The sequence below is a fragment of the Homo sapiens genome, chromosome 2 (genome assembly GCF_000001405.40).
Source record: "Homo sapiens chromosome 2, GRCh38.p14 Primary Assembly".
Taxonomy (NCBI): Eukaryota; Metazoa; Chordata; class Mammalia; order Primates; family Hominidae; genus Homo; species Homo sapiens.
Genome location: NC_000002.12, coordinates 182,817,651 through 182,842,351, shown reverse-complemented (window position 1 = coordinate 182,842,351; position 24,701 = coordinate 182,817,651). Strand labels below are relative to the sequence as shown.

The 24,701-nt window shown below is 37.6% G+C and overlaps 1 protein-coding gene across 1 annotated transcript in view, besides 1 other annotated feature; it reads left to right on the top strand.

Annotated features, from left to right (window-relative positions):
• FRZB (frizzled related protein) overlaps positions 1–9,077 on the top strand; it is a 33,363-nt gene extending 24,286 nt beyond the window's left edge. Inside the window, exons 4-6 of the mRNA NM_001463.4 lie at positions 3,739–3,943; positions 4,341–4,404; positions 7,387–9,077. Coding sequence (NP_001454.2) covers positions 3,739–3,943; positions 4,341–4,404; positions 7,387–7,503 — 386 coding nt within the window. The 3' untranslated portion in view covers positions 7,504–9,077. The remainder of the gene's footprint in view (positions 1–3,738; positions 3,944–4,340; positions 4,405–7,386) is intronic.
• Positions 22,885–23,765: an enhancer, noted in NCBI's record as "OCT4-NANOG hESC enhancer chr2:183683314-183684194 (GRCh37/hg19 assembly coordinates)". NCBI's record gives its function as "activates a minimal SCP1, AML or CMV promoter by ChIP-STARR-seq in naive and primed H9 embryonic stem cells {active_cell/tissue: H9 hESC(naive and primed)}" and the evidence as "EXISTENCE:reporter gene assay evidence [ECO:0000049][PMID:30033119]".

Here is a 24,701-nt window from a genome sequence, read left to right as displayed (position 1 = left end):
TATTTTTAGGAGCATAGTCCCTCTGCCCCGACCAATTAAAATGTCTCACACGGGCAAAATGCTTAACACTTGGTTGATGTTGAAGCACATCAAGCAGTATTGTCATCCTAGAGCCATGCACTTAAGTACACAGAGATAAGTATCAAGATACATGGGACTCTTCCCTGCCTGGAGGCTGAAGGAGGATTTGAGCTCAAGTTGGGTTGCATAGGCCATCAGTTGTGCTTCACTGAGTGAACAGCAGAGCACTTTGATGCATAAGGAACTGTTAAAAGACTCAAACTTGACTTCTTCAGTCAGTCTATCCCATGAAAAACACTGACAGATTTGGAAAGTAACACTTGTAGAAGTTGCTGGTATTCAGCGAAGGAAATGTGTTGTTATCTAGCTTGACTTAAAATCCGACATTCTAATAAACTAAATATTAATTGAAGAGCCACCAATCCAAATGTAGCTGACAAACTTAACTGAAGGATTAAAAAGCCTGCCATTTTTGCATCAGGGACTGTGCTAAGTGATTTCCATACATTATCTTTAATTTTCTCAGCTGCCCCATGAGATATATTACCATCTTGATTTTATCAATGATTATCGAACCTAAGTAGTCCCTTCTTTGATTGTTCACAATGTACTTTGGATGCTGGTGTATATTTTAGAGTCATAAATTCATTTATACAGTCATTATATTTAGAAAGGGCAATTAACAGAGCTTTCCCGTTGACACATAAGGGACTGATATTTACTGTATTCCATATGCATTTTGATTTTTTCTAATATCTATGGTATTAATAAAAGGTATGTTACTATCTCTGCATAAGACTATTGATGTTGAGTCAATGAGTAAACATGGAGATTAAACAGACTTTTACAGTGAACCTTATTAAAATAAGAGTTTTATTATTACATTTATGTACACTATTTTAAAGTATATAGGATATATACAGCAGATTTATTTCTTCTATACTTTTGGGAATTGAAAGGAGAGAAATGAATAAGACTGTAAAAGTTAGCTTCAATATCTTTCAAAATGCAGTGTATTAAAAAATATAAAGTTGAAAATTTTGGGTTTAGTTAAATCTCTTTAAAACAAATCCACCTTGTTTCCCAAATTTTTCTTCAATGGAATTAATTTCTATGTTTTGCCTGCTACTCCTCTTAAGAGGATTGTAGCTTTTCTTAGTCAATGATGGATGCTCTTTCTAAGTTTGTAAGCTTATGTTTATGTAAGAAGTCAAATGCCTGGCTGCTTATCTAAGAACCCGCTTCTTTACAGATTGATGTGAAGAAGCCTAGGGAAAAGGGAGCCCTTAATTTCTAGGAGATTAGCTTGTTAAGATTGAAAAATGCTTTCTGAACTTTTATATACTGTAACACTAAGAATAAAAACATATCAATTTTATATCAGGGAAATGTAATTATTTATATTTAATTTATGTATCCTATTATCAAGTTTTATTTTATCTAGCTTCTGTAGTGCTTCAATGGTTGTTGCTGTTATTTTTGTTAAAAATTGAATGACAAGTCATGGAAAGTGAAGGTCTTAGAGAAAGTAGCTGAATGAATATCATAATAAAATGGGATATGGATTATAATTAATGGAAAGGAGCAGATAATTTCTTTTTTGTAGCCAAGTAATAGCTAAGTTGATCATAGTTTCAGGATTGCCATTTGTCTGGGATTTCTTACAGTTTCTTTGGGGAAGGGAGGCACTCAAATGGTTAAATAGAAGGAAGAACTCTGAAAAGGAAGTATATTTTACTTCCAAAATATTTTTATCTTCTATATCTGCATGTCAAGGTGGGAGCAGTTGGAAATTCAGACAAAACCTCTACTTCATTTAGATTAATTCTGGGAAAAACTCCTTAAGTGTTAACCAAATTACTTGAGTGAAAAAGTAGGTCTTGTAGAAAGATATTTATTTTGGAGTGGGTACATGTGCTAAACATTTCTAATGAAAATAGTAGACACTGGGTAAATAAATCATTAGTTTGAGAACATTTGCACAGTTCACTAATCTCTAATAGTTGATGGATGCTATGAAGCACGTTCACTTAAGCCAGGACACACAAAAATGCCTGCTAGCTGGGGTTGTGAATTTCTCATCTGATTCTGCCAAATGGCATTTCAAAAAGGGCAATCTTATCTTTTGTTAAATACAGAATAGGGAGAACATGAATAGAAAGAGGCTCCACTTGCCAGTCAAACCAAGCGAGGACAGTTGGGTAGTTACAGTTTGTTTGCTACACGTTCTCATACTTGAGGCAACTAATTCTCGGAAGACTGAAATGTGAAGCTTTTAGAATTCCTTAGTAACTAATTTCTGTCATGTGTGTTGTACTGGTAGAATAAGTTTTTGTGACGAAATTGGAACATTAATGGGGGGAATGGTTGATTAGCTGGTTTTATATTTTTCAAGGATTACTTTCTTCTAATCCTTTATAGTCCAAAATCTCTAAAATATGTGGGAAAGTACTCAGATTAAAGTGGTTTGCAATTATGTGCCTAAGAAGTTTTTGAAATGTTGACTCATTTGGATAAACGGTGTTTTCCTCTATATAATGTCCATGGATAGTGAACTGGAGCAATGAGGGTACTGGGAGAAATGCCACTGGCTTTTTACTGATATTTTTACTTCTTTCTTGGTGTTTTAAAACTTCTCTTTTTAAAAGCTCATTTACTAGAAGCAGGAATCTGAACAACTTGACTCTTTTAAAGGGGAGAGATACAGAAAAGAAGCAGATCTGTACTTTCTAGATTCTGAGTCACATACTTTAACTTTGCAACTGAAGGCAATTTGTTGTTACATTGATAAGTAAAGCAAGTCTTGTGAGATAAATTGGGTGCCAATATATCCATTGAGAGAGGTAGAATAATGCCATTGACACGTGAGAATATATTCCATAGCACGTGAGGGAAAGGAATGTTGGAGTGTCTGACTTCAAAGCAGATGGAGGAAATAAGATCTAGTGGTGACCATTTTTATTCAAGAAGTAAATATAGCCCACTTAGAGGAGAATATAAAAGATAATCTGTACTGAACACAAAGGAAAAAAGGACCTAATATCCGAACAAAGAAGAAAATGTAGCCCACCTAAAGGAGAATATAAAAGATAATCTGTACTGACCACAAAGAAAGAAAGGAGCTAATATCTGAACAGTGAGCCAAGATGAGGAAGGTGAAAAGATTGCAGAACCAGTTTGGGAACACTACTGAGCAGGACAATTTTATAACATTACAGAGGCCCACTACTTGAGAAAACCTGTTAATGGACCTGATAAAACAGTGTCGACAAGGAATAAAGCATATTTAAGTATTAGGTCTTTTCATATAGTAAAATTAACATAGTTTAAATTCCTCTTGGCAGCAATTGGAACTGCACATGCATATATACACATCCAAAATGGAATTTTAGAGAAAAATTGTATCAGATTGTTGACTCAATCTTTGATTCTCTAAATGGATTTCTCAAAAGCACATGCACACACATGCATAAATACATGCAAATATATACACAGCCACAAATTGGAAAGAGAGCAGGGCTGAGCATTAGGTCAGGTGTGTTGTTTTATGTCACACACTACAGTCTAAGGCAAAAATATCTGGCTGACTTTTCTGTTCCATTCGTTGAATATCAAGTGGATAAGAATTAACTAAAGAGAAGCCTACTTTGGCTTTTTTTGAATGGGGTAGCTATTATGTGTCATATTATTATCAGCTTTTCTTGTCTTTTATCCCAGTCATTCGGGCTAAAGTTAAAGAGATAAAGACTAAGTGCCATGATGTGACTGCAGTAGTGGAGGTGAAGGAGATTCTAAAGTCCTCTCTGGTAAACATTCCACGGGACACTGTCAACCTCTATACCAGCTCTGGCTGCCTCTGCCCTCCACTTAATGTTAATGAGGAATATATCATCATGGGCTATGAAGATGAGGAACGTTCCAGGTAATTCACTCTTTAAGGATACAGAATAACTACTTTGCTTATCCTACTCTCATTAAATTTGTCTCTAGAGATGCTACCCTCGCATTTTTACATTGGGATCTGTCTACCTTCTTGGGGATTACAGATAAGTTTTAGTTGGGTTTCTTGATTTCATATATGGAATGGGTGTATGCGTGTAGTTTATAGGTTTACATTTTTCTTGGGAGAGGGGCCATAACTTCATTTGTTTCTTAAAGGGGTCTGTGACTTACAAATGGTTAATAATTACTGTTCTAAATCTTAGCTGTCCTATTCAAGAATAAACATATAAGTCTTTCTTGTTCAAGTACTGTTTCCTTGTACTTTTCAGTAACAGGTTTTAATTTTTCAAAAATGTTTGCTTCTTTCAAAAATACAGATTACTCTTGGTGGAAGGCTCTATAGCTGAGAAGTGGAAGGATCGACTCGGTAAAAAAGTTAAGGTAAGCCTGTATTTTATGTTTGAAGTAATACACAGAAAACAAAACAAAAGTAGAAAACCAGCCATCTGTCATTGAAATGAAATAGCTGCCTTCAACCATATGAGAAATATTAAAATTTAGTATGCATATATTTATATACTCCAAGAGCTGAATTTGTCTTTAATGTCTATTTTATTTAAGGAATGAGTTCCCTGTATGTGTATCAAAGATCTAACTACAGTTGCCCTAATGTCTCTTCACAAGGAGTCTAGCTGTAGTCCAGTCCTGGTAGGGTGGTTTCATGTTGTCAGGCTCCTTCTAGCTTATCACTCTACCATTTTTAAAGGCATCGCTTTCATACTCATGTTCACCTGGAGGTCACAAGATGGCTGCTCTGCCTCTAGTATCACATGTACATTTCAGGCAGGAAAAAGAGGAGGTAAAAGGGATTTCCAAGAGCCTCATCAAGCAGTTTTTACTTAGCTGCAAAACAGGCTAGAAAATGTAGTCTTTTTAAACCTGGGGATATTGCTTCTTTGAACAAACTGCAGTTTGTGAGAAGGGGAGAATAAATGATGGGAAGGAAAATAAACAATGATGTCCGATGAATAAACAGCAATTCCTATGTACAAAGTGTAGCTACATTCATCTGTATAGAAGAGATCTGAATAAATTAGGTCCTTAGAGCAGTAATGTAGCCTTATTTTTAAGCCAAATAACTCTTAGATTGTGGAATTGATACATTTTTTAAAATCACATAGTACAGTACTGTATTATAGAAGGTTTTGTTTCTTCTTACTGCACTAAGCAAATCTGTTTTAAAGAAAAGAATGGGGTGGGGGAATGCATGGGGGGACAAAAAAATCTCAAAGGATGTGTGGGTGGGTGGGGGGAGTGGGAACTGTACCAAACATAATACATCCTCTTCCTTCTGCAAGTTTGAAGGCTTGGGAAACATTTACATGGTAAGTTAAACACCCCTGGGCGGTTTATCTTATACATCTGGCACTTGACACGGCAGACACGTTTGGGTTTAAGTGACCTACAAAAATGTAGAGGGCATTATTTTGTAAGGAGAAACTACCCTCCAGTAAGTTCTTCTCCCCTTTAGTAGATTTGTCAAAAGGGAGATGCATTTCAAGTTCAGACTTGCGGGCATTCTCTCTGCATCTCTCTTCAATTAGTTTGGTGTTTATTAAAGAAAAAAGTGGCTCTTGTTCAGTATGTTGGAATCTCTTACTGTCTTTAATTTGGTTTTCTGCTTGCTAATGCAGAACTGGAATTTGTCCTAAATTCCTGTACCAGTTGGAAAAGCTTTCAATATCCCTGCTGCGAAGCATGTAACAAGGCTTACTGCTCCTCTTTTGGTACCAAAACAATATCATTGTGTTGTTGACAGGACACATGGCTTGTTTGTCCTGTTTCCCATTGCTTTCTGCAATATTTCCCATTGTTTTCCGCAGGGGACTTGCAGAGTTATTATTGTAAAGTCATTTATATTCTCAGTCTGGATTTAAATATTCTAAAGGAAAGAAACCAATAATTTGAACAATTTTAAATTCATATGCAGATATTGAGGGCTAAAGAGTTTGGGTAGAAAATCTCCTTTGGCCAGAATTATTGAGATTCCTATTTTAGTTTTCCAGTCAATTTGAAGATGTGTAAAAAGAGTTTTATGGAGGATGTTATTTTTTCAATCAGATTTGCTCTTAGCTGAGTTTTGCTCTCAGTGGATGAATCAATAATTTTATAAGAAACATTATTATGTTTTTTTCATGCAAATGGTTGTTTACCTAAGTCTCTTATAGCAGACGATTCAAGATGTTTGGACTTCCTTGGGAAGTTGAGAATCAGACTGTTTTTAAAATATGAAGACAAGATTGTGGAGTAAAGAATACTGAAATGAAGAATTACCTTCAGTAACAGAAAAACAATAACACATTTACTATGTGCTAAGCACTTTATATTTTTATTAATCTTCAGATGTATCTACTTATAAGTAGATTCTATTATCAGTTCCAACATATACATGATGAAAATGAGGTCTAGTAAGTTCAAGAAACTTCACACAGTAAGTGGTGGAGTTAGAATTTGAACTTGGGCCATCTGACCCAAGGATCTGATGGTGCTTGCTCTTTAAAGTGTGGTCCCTGGATCAGCAACATAGGTATCACCTGGGAGCTTGTTAGTAATGAAAATCTTCGGCCCTGTCTCAGACCTGCTAAATGAGAATTTGCAATTTTAACAAATTCCCCATATGATATCCGTGTTTGAAGTTTGGGAAGTACAGCTGTAGTTCGTATTCCCTACCTATCCTCATGTAATATAACTTCCATTTAACTTAAATTACATGAAAATATTATTGACATTGTTAATATGAAATATTACTAAACTTGATTGTGTTTATTAAAAACATTGCTAATACCTGCTTTGTAACACTTAGAACGAGGGCAGGACCTTGTCTGTTTTATTCATTGTACTTAGTGGATATTACTTAGAAAAATATTTTTGAGACCCCCCCATCCCTCAAAAAAATTTCCATTTTTTTTTCACTGCTCAAATCACATAGACTTTAAAAGGCTATGTTCTTATGTGTATTAAGAGAGGATGTTGAAAAATAGCCTTCCCTTCAAATTCTGTGTGTAAATCTTCCATTTGTTGAGTATCTGTGAAGCACTAGCCTCCTGTATGTTACCTCAGGAAATACCCAGAGATATAGGGAGATATTTCTGTCATCATTTATAGACATGGACATTTTAAGTTTAAGGTTTGATAAGAAAGCATTACTAAATACATTATAGATGTTGCGCTTGTTAAAGTCAGAGAATAATGTTCATATTGCATCAGTTTTCTTGTTACCCTGGGAAATAGATTGATACTTTTGGAAAAGTAGCAAAATGCTTCAGAGATCTGAACTTGCAGTCTGACCCAGTTGTTAGAATCATGGAAATAATGACCCTGGTGATATGTGCTTGTGACTATTTTCTATTTTAAATTTCACAGCGCTGGGATATGAAGCTTCGTCATCTTGGACTCAGTAAAAGTGATTCTAGCAATAGTGATTCCACTCAGAGTCAGAAGTCTGGCAGGAACTCGAACCCCCGGCAAGCACGCAACTAAATCCCGAAATACAAAAAGTAACACAGTGGACTTCCTATTAAGACTTACTTGCATTGCTGGACTAGCAAAGGAAAATTGCACTATTGCACATCATATTCTATTGTTTACTATAAAAATCATGTGATAACTGATTATTACTTCTGTTTCTCTTTTGGTTTCTGCTTCTCTCTTCTCTCAACCCCTTTGTAATGGTTTGGGGGCAGACTCTTAAGTATATTGTGAGTTTTCTATTTCACTAATCATGAGAAAAACTGTTCTTTTGCAATAATAATAAATTAAACATGCTGTTACCAGAGCCTCTTTGCTGGAGTCTCCAGATGTTAATTTACTTTCTGCACCCCAATTGGGAATGCAATATTGGATGAAAAGAGAGGTTTCTGGTATTCACAGAAAGCTAGATATGCCTTAAAACATACTCTGCCGATCTAATTACAGCCTTATTTTTGTATGCCTTTTGGGCATTCTCCTCATGCTTAGAAAGTTCCAAATGTTTATAAAGGTAAAATGGCAGTTTGAAGTCAAATGTCACATAGGCAAAGCAATCAAGCACCAGGAAGTGTTTATGAGGAAACAACACCCAAGATGAATTATTTTTGAGACTGTCAGGAAGTAAAATAAATAGGAGCTTAAGAAAGAACATTTTGCCTGATTGAGAAGCACAACTGAAACCAGTAGCCGCTGGGGTGTTAATGGTAGCATTCTTCTTTTGGCAATACATTTGATTTGTTCATGAATATATTAATCAGCATTAGAGAAATGAATTATAACTAGACATCTGCTGTTATCACCATAGTTTTGTTTAATTTGCTTCCTTTTAAATAAACCCATTGGTGAAAGTCTTTTTTTTTCTCTTCTTTTAAAATAAATCAGAATTGCCGTATTGACCAGGAAAAGATTATGTATGCACGTGCACCAGGGTTAGTTTTTAAAAGTACATGGCTCCATAAAAATGCTGTAGATTACAGAGTGATAAAATATGCAGGTTTTTTTGTTTTTGTTTTTTCTGTTGTGTGTGTGTCTGTATTTGTGTACATGTGTGTCCTTGCACTCACACCCAAGGTGGATTAAAATACAGGCCTGCAAACTGGCCTGCACTTTATCATTTGGATTTGTGCTGCTTAATGCTCAGCGAAAAATGTCTAGTAAAATGAATTATGGTTGTCAGGAGAGAGGTTATTTCGACTTTTGAACCAATTGCACATTTCTCATTACCCAAGCTGTGGTGAGATCCCAGGGGCTGTGGTGAACAAATGATGCTTTTATAGATGGTCCCTAGCTTACAATGATTCAATTTACAATGCTTCAATTTAACAATTTGTTGACTTACAATGGGTTTATCAGGATGTAACCCAATGCATTTCAACTTACGATATTTTCAGTTTCGAATGGGTTTATCCAGATGTAACCCCATCGTAAATGGCGGAGCATCTGTACTTCCTTCCTCTGGCAGAGTTCCTTAGAGCCTGTGCCAATTACTTGAAAGTTTCATTCTCTGCCATTTACATGTGTGCTATTAGTAGAACCAAATTTCTAAGCTGTGGCGTGCTGAAAATAAAATGCTTATGAAGCAAAAATCGTGCTATGTTTCCTTCTACAAGGATAATCAAGCAAGGATGAAATTCATTCCTGAACAAAAGTTTCCTAAAATGGTAAATAATCATCTATCTAAATGTTCTATTTTAAAAGTGTGAGCTGGGTGTGGTGAGTGCACCTGTAATCCCCACTACTTGGGAGGCTGAGGAAGGAAGACGGCTAGAGCCCATGAGGTTGAAGCTGCAGTAAGCTATGATTGCGGCCACTGTACTCCAGCGTAGGCGATAGAGCATGACCCTGTCTCTGTAACAACAACAAAAGTGTGAAAGTTCATTCTACAAATTGGAGTCACTCATATCATACCCAACTAAAATGGAGTCGGGAGGCCATGGGGAAAGGCACCCAGGTCCCTGTTCCAGGAACCATTTTTGCAGTTCAACAGAAAAATCACGAAGACCTAACTCTAACCTTAAGATAAAGTTACCTAGCTGCTGCCACTCACCAATCAGAACTTGCTAGATCCTACAAGACGCGCCTGGCTCCAGTGAACTTTCATTCAAAACCATTTAGATCACCTTCCTCTCTTCCCCAATAAAACCCCAGCCTTTCTCTTTGTTCTTTGAACACAACTAGAGGCTACACTGGTTTGTGTGCCCAGAATTACAATTCCAATTCTTATATTCCCAAATAAACCCTTTACTTGGAGATTTATCTCCCTATATTTAAAGGTGACAGAGTAAGGGAACATTCCTGCCTTCTGATTGACTCTCCAAAGCCAACAATTTCCCCAGCCCCAGAAGAAAACATTCCCACCTTTGCCTATAGGACTGCATAGTCTTTTGAGCTTCCAAAAGACCACTTCCAAAGGGCTTGCCATCTGCCCATTGTTGCTATATTCTCAGATGGCAAGGACATCTCTTTTGAGGTGCTGATGTCCTACCCTTAAAAGGTGAGTTGGGTGTCACTGGGGAGTAATGAAGCGCCACCGTGGATGGACTGCCCCTGAGAATCTCTCTTCCTGGTATGTAAGCCTCAACTTGAGCCTGAGGACAGAGGGGTGGAAAGTAGTGCTGGTGCCTCAGCCTGTTTTCCTCAGGCTTTCTCACGTTAACTCTGTAAAGAAGGACAAGAATTGACTACAGGAGAGGTTTAAAGGAACCGTTATCTCAAATCCACAAACCTCAACTCTCTCAATGCACAGTAAGCAATGTTAAGTAAGGAACTCTTTTGATGTATAAAAGCTGCAGATGTTTCCAGCTTCTGCAGTTTTTTTTGGGGGGTGGGGGTTGGGTAAAGGGGGTATGATCAGTTTCTGTGTAGGAATTTGACACACTTTATGCTTAATATAAACAAAACACGGCCAGATTCTTAGATTCAGCAGTTTTTTTTTTTTTTAAACCACCTTCCATTCGGTGCCATTTTACAACCTACTGTTTTACCACTACCATCTATAGTGGCAATGTTTGATTTTGCTCACCTATATGAGGCTTCTGTCAGCTGTTTAAACATTTCTAATGGTATAAAGCCCATGAATAAAGTACATTTGGTTTTTCAGTTTGATAGCTACAATATCTTCATTAATAAACTGTGCAGACCTCTTTTGGGAGGATGGCGTGATTTATCATGATGGTCACGTTTCTCAGGAGACTGCAAAACCATTTCTACTCTAGTTGCCATAGTACAAAGACACCTCGTTAATGCCTCTCTATAGGGTTTTCTTGCAGATAGTAACTTTTAAAGCCACTAAAAATTTAATATACATGCATCCTTGTCAGTAACCTTGAGATTGATAAAATTTATATTTCTTTAAAAAATTTTATTCAACTTTAGGATTTTAATTTTCTTAGCCAAATTAAAGTCAGATGCATGCTGAATAAAGTAGCAAATACTTAAATAGCAGCAAACATGGATTCTCTTTTCATGGATATGTATTTTACTGTGTCACATACAATGTAATCTGATTCAGTGCCATATGTTGCACCCAGCATTCAGGGATGGGGTGAGACAAACTGTCTTTCCACATGTGTTACACATTAAGAAGGCAAAAACAAAAGTTATAATCACTGTGAGCAAATAGCACTACCTATTGCCTTCTGCAAGAAATTATTTGCTGTTACATTTCAACAAGTAAAATGACTAAAGGTATTTCAAGATTGACATTTAGCACTGAGTTTTAACATATTTTAATACACAAAAATTCAAGAAGATGGTAAAAATAAAGCAGAGACTTCTAATATGGTGTTACTGAAATCCAGCCTATAAAATTTAAAAGTATGGTACCCAGATGTATTAATATTAACAAAAACAGTATAGTCATACCTTTCATAATTATCTGTTTGGGGTAATAACATCTAACAGTGGCTGGAACTCTATATGAAACACTTGTGCATATGTTACCTCACTTATTCCTTGAAAGTTGTTGAAGTAGATGTTTTATTCCCATATAACAGATTTTTTTTTTTTAAATGAGTATTTAGAACTTCAGAGTTGTGTAAGTAGCAGAGCTGGGCCTTAGATCCTCATAATCTTATTTCCCAAATTATATGTTTTCCACCACTGCAATTTCTGATAAAAAGGTAAATGCATCCTAGCACTGTAAAAAAAGAAAAAGCATAGTGTCAGGCATATAGTGGTAGCTATTGCTATTATTGGATTATAATAAATAATAATATAAATATAACAATAGCTATTATTTCTTAAACTGAGGTCTACCAACTATGTTAGAAAGCCTATATAATATAGGCCCAACTCTAATCCAAGATACAGTCACTTCACATCTTCAGGTGTCCTCCCTTATGAAATCAGAATTTCAGTAGAATTATTTCCATACAGACAGGCAGGTGAATTAAGTAATTTTGGGGGCATTAGTTGTTTAAAAATGTGTGACTCTCAGAAAAGCATTTTTCAAGGTTTCTGTTTTCCCTTGAATTTGTAGAAAAGTAAACAGTTAATTGTATTCAACAACACCTGGAAGAAAGTTGAAATTAAAAGTTGATAATTATTACAAATAAAACGAGAACGACTACTTCCACTGGGAACTCCCATTTCTCCTTTTTAGATTATGCCCCCTATGTTTCCCACCACCAGAGTCCTCCATAATCTAGAAAAACTATTCCACCTGACCTAATTCCCCCTGCTTTTCATTCATTAAGTATTTTCACTATGACAGGGATTCAACATGTTAATACAACTAAATATGTTTTTCTTCCGATGAAATGCAAACGTTTGTCATGTTTCTACTTAGGTGGTTGTTGAGAACTTGAGGAGTTGTCCCATGAAGAAGGAAAGGTTGTGCTCAAGGAAATTTGTCCAAAAAAAAAAAAAAGGATTTGTGGGCTGTTGAGGAAACTGACACAGAAATGAAAGAAAATGCGGGAAAGAATTTTCTACTCACCACAGGGATGTGGAGGGGAATGACCCCACTCATTACACAGTGGTACTGTGGCCACTCTTGCAAACAGCCACCACCTCCCTCCCCACACACTTAGCATCACGATGTGAGGTTGATGTTATGATTGCAGGGTTGGACTTAGGATAGTCTGGGGCCTCAGCAAGGGTGGGTCGGGTGATGTCTGAAACATAGGATAGCTCTGAGATGTTAAGAAGTCAATGAAACAGGGAACAAAGGATTTCTTGTTTATACTGGGTGGTAAATCCAATAAATAAAGCAGATGCAGTTCACTCTAATGTCTTTATTTCTACATTATTTTGGTGATTCTGAGGGAATCATGGCTTCCCAGAGATGGTATTCCTGTCCTAGCACTGAAAAGAAGAATTTGAGTTGAACTGTGGGACAACTTGGCAAAAGGAGAGATCAATATGAACAAAATTCCTATTGGAAAACTTTCTCTACGACCTAAAACTCAAGTAATATATCAAAGCTTTAAAAGATGCATGATACTCCAGGTGAAGTCTTCTGCCAAAAAAAAAAAAAAAACATGTTTAAATTTGGCCTTTTCTTTCCTTCTCATTAATTACTGGAATTGCCATGAGTCCCTTGCTCTGTGAAGGTTTCTCTTTCTTTGAAAATTCAAGATATGGTGTCTTGTAAGTGATCTAACCAGCCAGCTCTTTCTAATAAAACATGGCCTAAGATAAGAAAAACAAACAAAACAAACAAACCAAAAACAGAAAAAAAAAAACCCGTGATGCTCAGAAAATATTATACCCACAAATACTGAATTGTCCTGTCTGCTCACATTCATCTCTTTCCCTCCTGGCCATTCTTGCCTATTCTGCTTTTCCTCATATTGCTTGGCTAATTAAATCAAACACATAGCTACAGGAATATTTTCAGAATTGCTAGAAGATCAGGCATGATGCAAATATCTGATATTCTTTAAATCCATTGATCAATATCCATGATGCTCATTTCGATTCCTTTCAGGTCATCAGCTCAGGCAGTCTTGTCCTGAGGTTTTCTTGCCTACACGATGCCTGGAACCACAGCTGCCCACACTCCTTCTTCCTTAGGGACAACATTTGGAGACATTCAATCATTCAAAATGGCTCCCTCACCATACCTTGAGTAGAGCTTTGGAGTTAGGGCACTTGGATTCAAATGCTCACTTCGCAACTCATTGGCTGTTTAGCCTTATTTCCAAGCTTCAAGATTAGGAGAGATGAGCTGGATGGATTCTGTTGGGCAGTGCCTGGAGCATGATAGGTGTTTAATAGGAATCAGAATCATTCCACCTTTTACTCCCAGCTCCTCTCTATGAAGTACACACTTCTCTAACAGGGTTCTAGTGAGTGCTCACTAAGCCCAGAAGAAAAGTGGCTTTCGAGAGATCACACTTCCTGCCTGTTCTCTGTTCTCCATCTTTAAGATGCTGGACTCAAAAAATTCTCAATTTTTCTTCAAATTGAAGATTAAAGTTCTTTTCCTTTCCCTCCAGTGAGGCAGGTGTGCTTAAAATGCAGCATGATCAAGAGACTGGACAAAAGATTCTGGAAAAACCATATAAGTACTCAAATCTACAAATATATCACAATACAAATTTATGTTTCATTCCAAACACTTTTATTTATTTTGGCAACCAAAGAACCAAAAGACTTCTGCAGCCATGCTTTTTTTTTAATAATTATTATTTTTTAAGGCTAGTCAAGCAATGGGGGTGAAGAAGGAAGAAAAAAAGTCTGTAACTGGTAGTGATCAATGAGTTGTAAATACCAAGGCACTGGGACCAGCCTCCAACCATTTTTAAATATAGGGAATGGTAAACCTATAGGAATTTTAATGTCTTCATGCTGGTTATTTCTATGGAGATGTTAACTTCCAGATTAATTCATTTATTCCTTGAACTTTCAAGTGGAATCACGTTTTTATACTTTACTATTATCCTTTGTAAGTAATAGGTTACTTTATATAAAAGAGCAAAGTAAAGAAAACAATTTTCTCTGAATGTTATTTATAAAAGTTTGGCTCCCCAAAAAGGTTATTATTCATAGTTTAGGTCAGCAAGGAGAGACCCCTTGAAAAGATATGTGTTCTCAATAAGAGCTGAATTTTTGTCAGAGGATCTTCTTGGTGTTTTTCATTTCCCAGGGAGTTCCAGAAGTACTAAAATTATATCGAGACAAAGTGTTTATGTTTCAAAAGTGCAGGCTCTGCATTCCAGGCTACACACTGAGGGTTCTCAAAACAGAGGCAGCTTTTACTGAAACTGGGAAGTAAGGACAACTCATAAAGGCCTTGGACTAGTCCCTTTTAGAAAAACAGACGATAACCAAAAACCCAGCTGCAAAAGGAAGAAACTAATCCAGGGTTGACAAACTTTTCTGTAAAGGGTCCCATAGTAAATATTTAAGATTTTGCAGGCCATGCAGTTTCTGTTGCAGCTACTCAGCTCTGCCACTGAGGCTCAAAAACAGACATAGACCATATTATATATGTGAACAGGCATGGCTGTGTTCCAATAAAACTTTATTCATAAAAGCAGGCAGTGGGCTGAATTTGGCTGTTGGCTTGTGGTTTGCCTACTCTTGTGTGTGCCTAATAAAATGTTTCCTAACTAGCTTGAATTATTTTATCATTCTTGGAACTTAATGAAATTGGTGGTTTGGTAGCATTAGAAACTTAACTACTAACAAAGGTTACCTGCAATCTTACTATTAAAGATTCAGTCTTTTGGGTCAATCATTGTTGTCTTCATGAATCCACTTAAAATGCAAGGGCATATGAAATATATCAGTCCCTATTCCTTAGTAACAATTAGCTTATTAAGTAACTGGGGCTGAAAGGGGCTCTAGAAGCTGCCCGAGAGAACAGAGTGCCTAGAGCAGGGAAATGGGGACTGAAAGGGGAGAAAGACGCACACGAGAGAGATTTTAGCCTTCCCCTGACCCTCCCAACTGAAACAATTATTCACAGGACCCAATGGGCTCCCAGTAATATTATTTTGTTTCTGCAAAGGCTCATTCTTTAGGAATAAAGTCCTGCGTGAATGAGCGCCCATGTCCAGACAGAGAGTACCCACTTGGCTCTTGCACACCCATTCAACAAACACCCATTTTGCTGCGAGGCTCAGTGCTAGGAATTGAAAGTGAGAAGTAAAATAAGATAATCCAGCAGAGAAAAATCTGCATGTAATACAAGGTGGTGGAGTCTACAAAAGAAAGAAGAACAAAGGGCCATTCTTTTAAAAAAAATTCCTTAAACTGCTGGTCTCATTTCTCTCTTGCCCACCCTCCCATTCATTCTAGTATGATGTATTGAAATGTAGTCCTAGTGCTAATGATCACATTTTTAAGGCTGGCATGCCAGAGACAGTGAAAAATTATAAATATGGTTTGTAGTTGTCATTTTTTGAAAACCTGTTTACCCTTCACTGTTTTCTTAAAAATTTTCATTTTAGTTGCTAAAACTAAAAGATCTTAGGAAGTGTTGCTGTAGCACTAAAACCCTCTTGTATGTTTAACCTATTCACCATAAGCTTGATTTACAACTGCTCTCTTTGCTTGATGAATCCCACATGCCTCATAATTTAAACATCTTAATGTGCCTCTCACTGAAGTGGCTTTTTATTTGAATGCAAATTGATTCTGAAACTGCTTCCAATCAGAAGTTTGTGTTTAATATACTGCAGCTTAGAGTTAAATATCACCATACTAAGGTCAATATGCAAGGAATAGGATTGAGAGTCAGTTGCTACCATAATTAACCTAGCTCAGGTTCATTTAACCATAAAATATACACTCTGACTGACTGTTTAACCTGTCCCAAATAAATGAACGGTATAGATCCTGAGCCATTCACTCAACAAATGAAATGCAGTTTTCATATAAATACAAAAGAAACTTGAGTTCATTTCTAAATTTGTGTAGCTTTTTTTTTTTTTTTTTGAGGATTTTAAGGGATTTTCAGTGGAAGGCAAACAGGATTTTTGTAGCATTCTCCACCTGATACCCGACTAAGTCTTATCTAGTCCAAGTAAAAACAAATACAAACCATGTAAGATAGTGGCTTATTCATTCCACCCCGCCTCCTTTTTTTTTTTTTTTTTTTTTTTTGAGGCAGAGTCTTGCTCTGTTGACCAGGCTGGAGTGCAGGAGCCTGGTCTCAGCTCACTGTAACCTCTACCTCCCAGGTTCAAGTGATTCTCCTGCCTCAGCCTCCTGAGTAGCTGGGACCACAGGTGTGCACCACCATGCCTGGCTAGTTTTTGTATTTTCAGTAGAGATGGGGTTTTGCTATGTTGGCCAGACTGATATTGAACTCCTGGCCTCAAGTGGTCCACCCACCTTGGCCTCCCAACCATCCCATTTTTTAAAAGTGCACTGGAAGACATTTAATAGTCTCCATTTGTAGATAGTTCTAGAATTTAATAATTTCTGCTATTGGCAATTTACAGTGCAGATTTTAGCACAAGATGTCAAATTATGTGAAACATTTTGCTACAATTATAGATGTTATAATTTTCCCCAAGTATTTGTTCAGCCCTTTAACTTAAAAAGCCAAGTTTGAAAGTACTTCAAATTTAGATTGAATATCATCCTAGCAAGTCTTAGTAAAATCTCATGCTGGTTTTCTCCTATGGGTTCGGGAAGAAAGGAATTAGCTTCAAATAACACCTCTACCTGTCTGTGTGCAGGTGTTAGCTCTCCTTGGGAGGGGTTAGACAAACTACAGGCCCCTTGCCTGATCCCCTTTTGAGAGCCACAGCCCAGAAAGTGGGGAAACATCTTGCAGTGATGAGAACAGGCTGACTAAAAAAAATCAGATAAGAGGGAACAGGTGCACCAATGTATCCGGAGAGGGTAGGCCTGAGCCCAGGAAGCGTCTTGAGCTCCAGGATGGCTGCTGGCACCCTAGCCCCAGTCAAGCGTCACCACGGCCAGAAGCCAGTTTGAAGCAGAGCTCTTCCTCTAAACACCGAGCATGGTGATTTTGACCAGGTAACTAGGCTGAACCCTCATGAACAGCTGCTTATTTGTCTCTGAAATTAGGCTGTGGCTTTAAAAATTCCTGAGGCTTGGAGTAGATAGGGTATAACAATAGTTTCCCCTGCCCCAGAAATTGTGTCACGCTGTCAGCTTCTTAAGATAGCAAGGGAAGGAAAAAAAGCTGCTTTAATGACATGGCAACTTTAAAATGTTAAATAGTTATTTGCTTTTATCTAGCACAATTAATCTCAAAGGACATGTTGTTATTCATTCAATGACAAGTCTTAACCGAGTGCTACTGTGTCAAATGCCAGCTATGGTAATGGGTGGACTCGCAGTATCTACCCTGCTGCAATGTACACAAAGGCAGAGCCAAACAGCACACAGGTGACAAATGTAAGAGGCAGATGGCACACAGGTGACAAACTGTGAGAAGTGCTAAGAAATAAATATTAGGTTGGTGCAAAAGCAATTGCGATTTTTGCCATTACTTTTAATAAGATGCAATAAAGAATATCAGAGATAGAGGTGGCAGGAGGAGAAAACCTGCTTAATAAGGGTAGTCACAGAGTTAGAATCATTGTAAAGTTCATGAGGCAAAGCTTAAGGGTCCTTCACTTGTACTGGCCTCTTCTAAGGCCCTGAGTATTTCCATGATCATGTGTTTTTGCAAAGTGTGCACATTTAAGGCTTTAATACGTTATTTTTCTATAAAAACGTTTCTACCAAGTTGTATAAGCTTCAGGGTTCACAAAATCTGGATTCACACTTAGTAGCTAGGGAAGACTTCTAGGAGGAGGAGAGATTTCAGTTGATTTTCACAGGATAAGAAGGAGCTTGCCATGCTGGATGTGGGGACAGCAGTTCAGGTGGGTTGAAGGACCGTTTGAAAATTCTGAAGCTGGAAATTGCCTTGCCAATCAGAGGACGTGAGCATGGAGTAGTTGGGGAATGGAGAGAAAGGTAGTAGGTAAAGTTGGAGAAATTAGCGGGAATAAAAGTGAAGGGCCATGTAGCCATATTAGGGAGTTGGGTTGTAGCAAAGTGGTATGTAAAACCACTGGAGTGTTCTAAGCAAGAGAATGACATGCTCAGATATATGTTATTAAAAGATTACTCAGACTCCAAAGGAAGAACTGATCTGGGGTTAAGGCATGATTAGAGAAAGGAGGCTCTTGTAGTAAAGGTGAGAGAAGATGGTGGTTTGGATCAGGCTGGTGGCAGTGCATTACAGAGCAAAGTGGACAGATTTAAGATACCGATTAGACTTTGAAATCATTGGACTAGCTGATGAGTTGGATGTAGGGAGCTGGGAAAATATTCAAAGATGACTTGAGCAACTTTTCAGACTTGAGCCACTGGGTTGATGGTGGTGCAACTATCATCCAGGGGGAGGAAAGCCTAGAAAAAGGGAAAAATGGGGTCAGGAGTGGATAAGGAATTCTAATTTGGTTGTGATAAGTTTGAGATACTTATTAGTTACTCAGCAGGAGAATGTTGAGTAGATAGGAGTCTGTGACTTAGGGGAGAGCTATATGTAAACATTTGAGAGTCACCCACATGTATTTGGTAAATATAACATATTTTAAAACTATATAAAGTTCCTATTTCTGTTCCTATTACTGGTCTCTCATTCCGTAAGTTAAATGAGACAGGACAAAGCCTTTAAATTGGATTAAGTAGAAATGCTAAATTGAAAAGTTATTTTCATGTGGAACTACAGGATCTTAGTAAAAATATGTTGAAGGCTGGGTAGAAGTGTCTCCAGGGGGTTGCAATCATCATAAAAAGTTCTATTAGGAATATTTAGGAGGGCATTTAATAATATAATGGATATGGCTTTATATAGGTGTAAATATGTCAGTGTTGACCTCTGTTTGAAGTTGATATAAAAGCAAGATTATGGATTTAGCCATGATTCTGCATCACTTAATCCCGCTCCAGTGTGCAGGAATGAGTTAGGTATGTGAAATATGTATACCACCTTAATAAATCAGACTTTAACTTTGTTATCTGAGTTTGCTTACATTTCTCAGTGGCCTGGGAGAAATAATTAAATGACCGCCACTGAATCATTCTAATTGATGAATACACCAGACTTTAAAAGCATATGTGAAATATTGTGTTGCCTGTGGATTAAGACCTTGACTTTAGGAGGTTTCAGTTAGGAGATGTTTTCCCAGAGTTAAAAATATATTTTTGCAAATAAGCAAGTAAGAGAAGTCTTGGCTAATCTGGTGTTTTAATTTCTCACAAGTATACCAAATTTCCAAGTGTCAGCTATAATTAACTATGATCTGGGGATATGGGATCCTGACAAATCCATATGTGTGTACGGTGTAAGCATTAGAGACCACTTTGAAAAGCTGTGGAATAGAGATAACATCCCATAAGAAAGAAGTCATTTGTTATGCTGATATTCCAAAAAATTCTTACTTTTCCCAGGGAATATACAGATTAGTATACATAATGAGTAGATAAAAACACAGTAAAAGTTGTATTAAACAAAGTTTTCATAAGGCTTTTAGAGAATATATGGTATTTAAATAATTTGGAATTAAGAAGGAGATCATGAGGCTATAAAGCTTCTTAGGAGATGCCATCTGTCACTTTGCAACGTGAAGAAGGCCAGTCATCTCAACATTCAAGTCTATGTGAAGTTTTCCATGAGTGGATTTTGTATAAATGAGTTTCCATCTTATTTCAGAACTCATTTCTTCCAATTCTCTATTTTCTTTATGAGAGCCGCTCATCTAAAAGTTTGGGGATCTCATCTTTGTGTTGGACTTCTATCCTGTACCCCCTCATACACAAAATTCCTGAAATGTTTATTTTGAAGGCTGGTAGCATTTGACTAGAAGTCTAATCCAGAAAAAAAGAAAAAAAGGTAGGATGAGGAATTTACAGAAAATAATAAAAATATAAGCCCACAGGCAAGCCAACTTAAGAAATTTAGGGGTGAAAATAACAATTTTGGGGTTGCTTAGCACTAGAATGTTAAACCCTAAAGAAGTACAAATTAATGGTAAGATAAAAACATTTTAAAGAAAGGTTGGAAAAGGGGCAAGAATGATGATGAAACTGCCTTTGCAAAAATTATAACTGAGAAAATTATGACAGTGAAAGAGATCTGACCTAACCAGCTCCATTTTTCTTCTAACCTCCAAGCTGTCCTTGTTCATTCCAGGGCCTAGGCTGAACTAACTTTAGGAGGAATTCAGTTTATAATTTAACTTTGAAACAAAGATTATAATAGCCGTTTCCCAAAACAACCCCCCTTTCTGCCTGGGGACTAGATTGCCTTTGCAGGACTAACAAATTAGCCACAAGATTAGAAATTATGGTTTAGGAGTCATGCAGCTAGAGGCTGCAAGATTCTAAACTTCCCCAAATTGCTCCTGAGGATAATATCACTATTGTAAATATTAAAATCAGTGCTTGAGATATTTTGGAGACCCTGTACTCGATGGATCAGCTGACACCACTTAGATGGATAAACTGGCTCATCTGGTCTTATGGTCCCCACCCAGGAATTGACTCATCACAAGAGGACAGCTTCAACTCCCTATGATTTCATCTCTGACTTGACCAATCAGCACTCCTCACTTTCCATCTCCCATACAGCCAGCTCTGCATGAATTAAACTCTTTCTCTATTGCAATTCCCCTGTTTTTTTTTTGTTTTTTGATTTTGTTTGTTTGCTTTTAAGATGGAGTCTCACTCTGTCGCCAGACTGGAGTGCAGTGGCACGATTTCAGCTCACTGCAATCTCTGCCTCCCAGGTTCAAGTGATTCTCCTGCCTCAGCCTCCTGAGTAGCTGGGATTATAGGTGCCCGCCACCACACCCAGCTAATTTTTATATTTTTAGTAGAGACGGGGTTTCACCATGTTGACCAGTATGGTCTTGATCTCTTGACCTTGTGATCTGCCTGCCTCAGCCTCCCAAAGTGCTGGGATTACAGGTGTGAGTCACCGCACTTGGCTGCAATTCCCCTGTTTTAATAAATTGGCTCTGTCTAGGCAGCGGGCAAAATGGACTTGTTAGGTGGTTACAATGAAAGGATGAAAATAAAATGATTCAGGAAACCTTGCCAGTAGTGCTACAATAGAAAAATAAGGCAACTTTCCAATTCTGCTTGTTTGTAGAATTTTAGGTATGAAAATTGAATAGGTCAGGTAGATAGCCACCTCATGCTATTTCTTTGTGAGGTTACATCCTTTATCATCTCTGCCTCCAACTCAGACTTTCTGTAGCCATCAGTCAAAGATGATGTCCAAAGTCTAACCTAAGTTATTAAAAAGGAAGCATTAGGCCTGGTATGGTGGCTCATGCCTGTAATCTCAGCATTTTTGGAGGTGGAGATGGGAGGATCACTTGAGGCCAGGGGTTCAAGACCAGCCTGGGCAACATAGTGTGATCCCATTTCTACAAAAAAAACAAAACAAAACAAAACAGGCATGATGGTGCATAACTGTAGTCCCAGCTACTCAGGAGGCTGAGGTGCAAGGATGGCTTGAACCCGGGAGGTCAGGGCTACAGTGAACTACTGATTGCATCATTCCACTCCAGCCTAGGTGACAGAGACCCTGTCTCAAAAAATATATATATATTAAATGTTAGCACCTGAGAAGTCAACAGTGTTGAACAGGGAATCAGGAGTGACTTCCCTCCCCACTTCTGGCTGGGACACATAAGGGTCCGGTTGTCACGCACACTGTTGTGGCCAATCTCATGGCTGAACTCTTGGAGAACCAGCAGTCACCTCAGAGCTCTAACATGCACCCCCAGGAACCAGTGGCACGTGGCTCCAGAGCGCAGCTGCACCAGCAGAACATGGAGCACCTGCTTGAGAGCTGCCCCAGAATCACCTACAGAGCCAGATCCGACCCTAAGGAGCTTCTCCCATCTGGCCCTTGAGTCCCTTCAGCTTACCTACATGTCTCTGCACCATGCGTTGTCTCTCACCAATTACATTTGAACTACCAGGAGAGACTAAATCATTCAGTATGCTTGTGGTTCTCCAAATTATCTTTGTTGACTGCATTATCCATAAAATACCCTTATATGAGCCTTATTCTCTTTGGCTTTCTTTGGTTAAGAAATACACTTTTAGGCCGAGCGCAGTGGGTTCACACTTGTAATCCCAGCATTTTGGGAGGCCAAGGCAGGCGGATGGCTTGAGGCCAGGAGTTTGAGACCAGCCTGGCCAACATGATGAGACCCTGTCTCTACCAAAAAATACAAAAAAAAAATTAGCTGGGCCTGGTAGCACACACCTGTAGTCCCAGCTACTGGGAAGGCTGGGGTAGGAGAATTACTTGACCCGGGAGGTGGAGGTTGCAGTGAGCCGAGACTGTGCCACTGCAACCAGCCTGGGTGACAAGAGTGATACTCCATGTCAAAAAAAAAAAAAAAGTCACTTTTCACTAAAATAAAACTTCTCATGAATATGAGGTATTTATCTCATTGTTGCCAAGTGTGGCTTTTATTAAAGCTTGAAGAGTGAGAAAATGAATAGCTTTTCATCAGCCACTAATGGAACAAAAATGGCTTACATGTGTGACTTTCCACAAGATTAATTTAAATTGGGGAGAACTGGCTAGCTTTCTCCTGTCGTGCTCTTTAGTAAATGCATAAGATAAATGCAGCACAGCGAATTTTGCCCCTCTGTTAGTAAAATTAGTTTCTGTGCAGTCTGGTTGACCCTGCCTGCTACAGCGCACAGCTGCTTTGGCATGCTAATTGAATTGTCAACAATAAACACTGGGAAGGAGGCACTTGAAGCTACCATTTTGGGCCACAAAACCTCTGCTTAAAGGCTGCCTGCTGTTTCTCCCAACTATGCATGAAAAGCAATTAAGAAAAGTCTTGTATAACTGTAGTCTGCTAAATCAAGGATAAGCTGTATATTGGAACTAACAAAAGACACACAAAACGCTTGCAAATCTTCTCAGGACCAAACTGTGTGCACTTGTGCTTGTAAGAATGTGTGGCCCAATTAATGGAAAAACACTTAACTAAAAGTTAAATTGCCCTGTTACCTTTTGCCCTATTAACTGGTGTCTAGCCTTAAGCATGAGAACCCTAGCTGAATGCTTATTTTACCAAGGCAGAAACACAATGAACCAGATATGAACCAGTCTAATAACTTTACCAGTCCTGGGCCAACTATTAATGCTAAGAATTTATACTGAATGAATAGATACCTCTTTGTTATTTCTAATTGTCATGGTGAAAAGGTTACTAAATTCCCACACGTGATGGGACAAAAGACACTTTGCCTACACAACAGCTCCATTTGACACCGTGGAAGGAAAGGACTGGAAGCATTTAGGCTGAGTTAAAAAAATAAAATACAGGCTGCATTTGTTGACAATTAGATGTGCCGTGTTAACATAAACTTAAGTTACTTGCTTTTAAAATTGTGTAGAGTTATTCTCTTGTTACTAATATCTTACAATTTTGACATGTACTTTCCCCCTAAAAAAATTTATAAACTGTTCTAGGCTCCAAATGACATCTTGGTTCTAAATGTTATTGAAATAATTTGTGGGATAATATACCTATGGGACATCTTATACCCCTAAAGCTGATCGCTGGTGGCATAGTGTGTGCAACAGTAATGTTCGTGTTAACCCAGGAAAGGCCATAGAAAATGGTCCATAGAAACTGGAGGTGTATTTAAAGTTGCTGGTCAATGTTTTCTTAAAAGTAAGATTTTGAAAATACTGAAAGTAAAAGCTTGAATATTGCTAAAAATAGAATACTTTAAAAAATTGTTCCCCATGAAGAGACCTTTTAAGTCTACATCTTAAAATTGAAAATAAGTTATAGTCATTCTTATGTTGTTATTAATATATATACAAACTTTAAAATGTTGATCAAAGTTTTAAAATTAACATTATACTATAGAAGACCAGAGCTTATAGGAGGTGTACATTATATACACACAGCTATTTATTAGAAGTGAAAATATTTTCTTCCAGGTGATTCCAATTGATCCTTAATTATATTTTTAAGATTGGGGTATGACATATTGTAGTTATTTAATTTTTTAAGGATTATTTTTGTTATTTCAAGTGTCGACCTTAAAGTGCTTTTACTGTAGACAGCAGCATTCTTTGTTCTGTCAAGTAAAATGCAGCTGTAATAAGATTGGATTCTTTGCTTCTGTGTTTCTATTTTTAGTTAGTCAAGGACAATCCTAGAAAATGCTTCTTTGGCCATTTTTCCCCCTTTTTCTAACAGTACTCAATGAAAACTAAACATCTTTAGGAA